The sequence below is a fragment of the Homo sapiens genome, chromosome 19 (assembly GCF_000001405.40).
Source record: "Homo sapiens chromosome 19, GRCh38.p14 Primary Assembly".
NCBI lineage: Eukaryota > Metazoa > Chordata > Mammalia > Primates > Hominidae > Homo > Homo sapiens.
In genome coordinates, this window is record NC_000019.10 from 27,381,531 (window position 1) to 27,387,649 (window position 6,119).

The 6,119-nt window shown below is 36.1% G+C and overlaps 3 annotated features.

The window, feature by feature from the left end:
- Positions 1,834-2,802: an enhancer, noted in NCBI's record as "OCT4-NANOG hESC enhancer chr19:27874272-27875240 (GRCh37/hg19 assembly coordinates)". NCBI's record gives its function as "activates a minimal SCP1, AML or CMV promoter by ChIP-STARR-seq in primed H9 embryonic stem cells {active_cell/tissue: H9 hESC(primed)}" and the evidence as "EXISTENCE:reporter gene assay evidence [ECO:0000049][PMID:30033119]".
- Positions 2,860-3,361: an enhancer, noted in NCBI's record as "NANOG hESC enhancer chr19:27875298-27875799 (GRCh37/hg19 assembly coordinates)". NCBI's record gives its function as "activates a minimal SCP1, AML or CMV promoter by ChIP-STARR-seq in primed H9 embryonic stem cells {active_cell/tissue: H9 hESC(primed)}" and the evidence as "EXISTENCE:reporter gene assay evidence [ECO:0000049][PMID:30033119]".
- Positions 5,234-5,735: an enhancer, noted in NCBI's record as "NANOG hESC enhancer chr19:27877672-27878173 (GRCh37/hg19 assembly coordinates)". NCBI's record gives its function as "activates a minimal SCP1, AML or CMV promoter by ChIP-STARR-seq in naive H9 embryonic stem cells {active_cell/tissue: H9 hESC(naive)}" and the evidence as "EXISTENCE:reporter gene assay evidence [ECO:0000049][PMID:30033119]".

Here is a 6,119-nt window from a genome sequence, read left to right on the forward strand (position 1 = left end):
GTTTTTGTAGTATCTGTAAATGGATATTTCAGGTGCTTAGAGGCCTATATTGGAAAAGGAAAAATCTTCACAAAAAAACTAGACAGAGGCATTCTGAGAAACTTCATTCTGCGATGTGCTTTTTTCTCACAGAGTTGGACTGTTCTTTTGATTGAGCAGTTTTGAAACACTGTTTTTGTAGAATCTGCAAGTGCATATTTGGAGCACTTGGAGGCCTATTGTGGAAAAGGAAATATTTTCTTATAAAAACTAGACAGAAGCATTCTGAGAAACTTCTTTGTGATGTGTGCTTTCAGTTCACAGAGGTGAAACTTTCTCTTGATTGAGCAGTTTGGAAGTAGTCTTTTTGTAGCATCTGCAAATGAATATTTGAATCGCTTTGAGGCCTATGTTAGAAAAGGAAATATCTTCATGTAAAATCTAGACAGTAGCATTCTGAGAAACTTCTTTGTGATGTGTGCATTAATTTCAGAGAGTTGAACTTTTCTTTTGATTGAGCAGTTTTGAAACACTCTTCTTGTATAATCTGCAAGTGTATATTTGGAGCGCTTTGAGCCATGTAGTGGAAAAGGAAATGTCTTCACATAAAAACTTGACAGAATCATTCTGAGAAACTTCTTTGTGATGTCTGCATTCAACTCACAGTGTTGAAACTTTCTTTCTATTGAGGAGTTTGGAAACAGTCTCTTTTTAGTATCTTCAAATGGATATTTCGAGTGCTTAGAGGCCTATAGAGGAAAAGGAAAAATTTTCACAAAAAAACTAGACACAGGCATTCTGAGAAACTTCATTGTGAGGTGTGCATTCATCTCACAGAGTTTGACTGTTCTTTTGATTGAGCTGTTTTGAAACAATCTTTTTGTAGAATCTGCAAGTGCATATTTGGAGTGCTTTGCAGCCTATGGAGGAAAGCTAATATCTTCACCTGGAAACTAGACAGAAGCCTTCTGGGAAACTTCTTTGTGATGTGTGCATTCACCTCACAGAGTTGAACCTTTCTTTTGATTGAGCAGTTTTGAAACACTCTTTTTGTAGAATCTGCATTTGGATATTTGCAGTGATTTGAAGCCTACGGTGGAAAAAGAAATGTCCTCATATAAAAACTAGACAGAAGCTTTCTGAGAAACTTCTTTGTGATGTGTGCATGCACCTCAGAGAGTTGAACCTTTCTTTTGATTGAGCAGTTTTGAAACACTCTTTTTGTAGAATCTGCAATTGGATATTTGCAGTGATTTGAAGCCTATGGTGGAAAAAGAAATGTCTTCATATAAAAACTAGACAGAAGCCTTCTGAGAAACTTCTTTGTGAGGTGTGCATTCAACTCACAGAGTTGAACCTTTCTTTTGATTGAGCAGTTTGGAAACCGTCTTTTTGTAGTATATGCAAATTGATATTTTGAGCACTTTGAGGCCCATGGTGGAAAAAGAAATATCTTCACATAAATACTAGACAGAAGCCTTCTGAGAAACTTCTTTGTGATGTGTGCATTCATCTCACAGAGATGAACCTTTCTTTTGATAGGGCAGTTGTGAAACACTCCTTTGTAGAATCTGCAAGTGGATATTTGGAGCGCTTTGCGGCCCATAGTGGAAAAGGAAATATCTTAACATAAAACCAGACAGAAGCATTCTGAGAAACTTCTTTGTGGTGTGCCTTTATCTCACTAAGTTGAACATTTCTTTTGATTGAGCAGTTTTGAAACAGTCTTTTTGTAGTATCTGTAAATTGATATTTCAAGCGCTTCAAGGCCTATGGTGGAAAAGCATATATCTTCATATAAATACTGGACAGAAGGATTCTGAGAAACTTCTTTGTGATGTTTGCATTCATATCATAGAGTTGAACCTTACTTTTCACTCAACAGTTTTGAAACACTCTGTTTGTAGAATGTGCAGGTGGATATTTGGAGCGCTTTGCAGCCTATAGTGGCAACGAAAATATCTTCACATAAAAACTAGACAGAAGCATTCTGACAAACTTCTCTGTGATGTGTGCATTCAACTCACAGAATTGAACCTTTCTTTTGGTTAAGCAGTTTAGAAGCAGTCGTTTTGTGGAATCTGCAAAGGGATATTTGTGAGCCCATTGAGGCCTCTGGGGAAATAGGAAATATCTTCTCATTAAAACTAGACAGAACTTTCTGAGAAACTGCTTTGTTATGTGTGTTTTCACCTCAAAAGGTTAAACCTTTCTTTTGATTGAGCAGTTTTGAAACAGTCTTTTTGTAGAAACTGCAAATAGATATTTGGAGCCCTTTGAAGCATAAGGTGAAAAAGGAAATATCTTCCCATAAAAACTATTCAGAAGCATTCTGAGAAACTTCTTTGTGACGTGTGCATTCATCTCACAGAGTTGAACATTACATCTGATTGAGCAATTTGGAAACAGTCGTTTTGTGGAATCTGCAAAGGGATATTTGTGAGCCCATTGAGGTCCCTGGGGAAAAAGGAAATATCTTCACATTAAAACTAGACAGAAACTTTCTGAGAAACTTCTATGAGATATGTGCTTTCAACTCACAGATTTGAAACATTCTTTTGATTGAGCAGTTTGGAAATAGTCTTTTTGTAGATTCTGCAAATGGACATTTGGATGCTTTGAGGCCTATGGTGAAAAAGGAAATACCTTCCCATAAAAATTAGGCAGAAGCATTCTGACAAACTTTTATTTGATGTGTGCACTCATCTCACAGAGTTGAAACTTTCTTTTGTTTGAGCAGTTTTGAAAAAATCTTTTTGTAGAATCTGCAATTTCATATTTGGAGCACTTTGTGGCCTATAATGGGAAAGGAAATATCTTCACAAAAAAACTAGCCAGAAGCATTCTGACAAACTACTTTGGATGTGTGCATTCATCTGAGGGAGGTGAATCTTTCTTTTCATTGAACAGTTTTGAAACACTCCTTTTGTAGAATCTGCAAGCAGATATTTGGAGTGCTTTGAGACCTATGGTGGAAAAGTAAATATCTTCACATAAAAAGCTAGACAGAAGCATTCTGAGAAACTTCTTAGTGATGTGTGCATTCATCTCACCGAGTTGAAACTTTCTTTTGATTGAGCAGTTTGGAAACAGTCTTTTTCTAGAATCTGCAAGTAGATATTCGGAACGCTTTTTGTTGTATAGTGGAAAAGGAAATAACTTCACATAAAAACTAGACAGAAGCAGTCTGAGAAACTTCTTTATGATGTGTGCATTCAACTCACGGAGTTTAACATTTCTTTTCATTGAGCAGTTTTGAAAAACTCTTTTTGTATTATCTGCAAGTGGATATTTGGAGCACATTTAGGCCTATGGTTGAAAAGGAAATATCTTCACATAAAAACTAGACAGAAGCATTTTGAGAAACTTCTTGATGTCTGCATTCATCTCATAGAGGTGAAACATATTTTTGGTGAGCAGCTTTGAATCACTCTTTTTATAGATTCTGCAAGTGGATATTTGGATCAGTTTATGTTGTGTACTGGAAAAGGGAATATCTTCACGTAAAAACTAGACAGAAACATTCTGAGAAACTTCTTTCTTTTGTGTGCATTCAACTCAGAGACTTGAACCTTTCTTTTGATTGAGCGGTTTGGATACCATCTTTTTAGTGTCTGCAAATTGATATTTGGAGTGATTTGAGGCCTGTAGTAGAAAAGGAAATATCTTCATATAAAAACTAGACAGAAGCATTCTGAGAAACTTCTTTGTGATGTGTGCATTCATCTCACAGAGTTGAACCTTTCTTTTGATTGAGCAGTTTTGGATCACTCTTTTTGTACAATCTGCAAGTGGATATTTGGAGTGCTTTGAGGCCTATGGTAGAAAAGGAAATATCTTCACATAAAAAGTAGGCAGGAACGTTCTGAGAAACTTCTTTGTGATGTGTGCATTCATCTTACAGAGTTGAAATTTTCTTTTGGTTGAGCAGTTTTGAAACACACTTTTTGTAGTATCTGCAAGTGGATATTTGGGGCGCTTTGACGCCTATTGTGGAAAAGGAAATATCTTCACTTAAATACTACAAAGAAGCATTCTGAGAAACTTCTTTGTGATGTGTGCAGTCATGTGTCAAAGCTGAACCTTTCTTTTGATTGACCAGTTTGGAAACAGTCTTTTGGTAGTATCGGCAAATGGATATTTGGAGCGCTTTGAGGTCTATGGTGGAAAAGGAAATATCTTCACATAACAACTAGGCAGAAACATTCTGAGAAACTTCTTTGTGATGTGTGCATTCATCTCAGAGAGTTTAACCATTCTTTTGATTGAGCAGTTTTGAAACACTCTTTTTGTTGAATATGCAAATGAATATTTGGAGCTCTATGAGGCCTATAGCTTAAAAGAAAATATCTTCACATAAAAACTACACAGAAGAATTCTGAGAATCTTCTTTGTGATGTGTGCATTCATCTTCATCTTACAGAGTTGAACATTTCTTTTGATTGAACAGTTTGGAAACACTCTTTTTGTAGAATCTGCAAGTGGATATTTGGAGCACTTTAAGTACTATGATGGAAAAAATATCTTCACATAAAAATTAGACAGAAGCATTCTGAGGAACTTCTTTGTGATGTGTGCATTCATCTCACTGCATTGAATGTTTCTTTTGATTGAGCAGTTTGGAAACAGTCGCTGTGTGGAGTCTTCATAGGGATATTTGAGCTCACTGAGGCCTATGGGCAAATAGGAAATATCTTCACATAAAAATTAGATGGAGTCTTTCTGAGAAACTTCTTTGTGATATGAGCTTTCATCTCACAAAGTTGAAACTTTCATTTGAATGAGCAGTTTGGAAACTGTCTTCTTGTAGAAACTGCAAATTGATATTTGGAGCGCTTTGAGGCCAGTGGTGAAAATGGAAATGTCTTCATTTAAAAACTAGACAGAAGCCTTCCTAGAATCTTCTTTGTGATGAGTGCATTCATCTCACATAATTGAACCTTTCTTTTGATTGAGCAGTTTGGAAATAGTCGTTTTGGAGAATCTGCAAAGGGATATTTGTGAGTCCATTGAGGCCCATGGGATAATGGGAAATATCTTCACATAAAAACTAGGCAGAAACTTTCTGAGAAGCTGGTTTGTGAGGTGTGCTTTCATCTCACAGAGTTGAAACTTTCTTTTGAGTGAGCAGTTTAGAAATAGTCTTTTTTTTAGAATCTGCAAATGGATATTTGAGGCACTTTGAGGCCTATGTTGAATAAGGAACTATCCTCGCTTAAAAACTAGACAGAAGCATTCTGAGAAACATCTTTGTGATGTGTGCATTCATATCATGGCGTTCAACCTTGCTTTAGATTGATCAGTTTGGAAACAGTCTTTTTGTAGTATTTGCAAAGGGAGATTTTGAGCGTTTTGAGGTCTATGGTGAAAAAGGAAATATCTTCACATAAAAAGTAGACAAAAGCATTCTGAGAAACATCTTTGTGGTTTGTGCATTCATCTCCCAGAGTTGAAAATTTCTTTTTATTAAGCAGTTTTGAAACACTCTTTTTGTAGAAAATGCTACTGGATGTTTGGAGTGCTTTGAGGCCTGTGGCAGAAAAGGGGTATCTTCACATAAAAACCAGACAGAAGCATTCTCAGAAACTTCTTTGTGATGTGTGCATTCATCTTAGAGAGTTGAATATTTCTTTTGATTGAGCAGTTTGGAAACATTCGTTTTGTAAAATGTGCAAAGGGATATTTGTGAGCCCATTGAGGCTTATGGGAAAATAGGAAATGTCTTCACATAAAAACTTGCCGGAAACTTGTTGCAAAACTACTTTGTGATGTGTGCTTTCACCTCAAAGAGTTGAAACTTTCTTTTGATAGAGCAGTTTTGAAATAGTCTTTCTGAAGAATCTGCAAATGGATATTTGGAGCGCATTGAGGCTTATGGTGAGGAAGGACATATTTTCACATAAAAACTCGACAGAAGCATTCTGAGAAATTCTTTGTGATGTGTGCATTCATCTCTCAGAGTTCAAACTTTCTTTTGATAGAGCAGTTTGGAAACAATCTTTTTATAGTATCTGCAAAGTGATATGTGGAGCACTTGGAGGCCTGCATTGAAAAAGGAAATATCATCAAATAAAAACTAGACAAAAGCATTATGAGAAACTTCTTTGTGAGGTGTGCATTCATCTCATAGAGTTGAACTA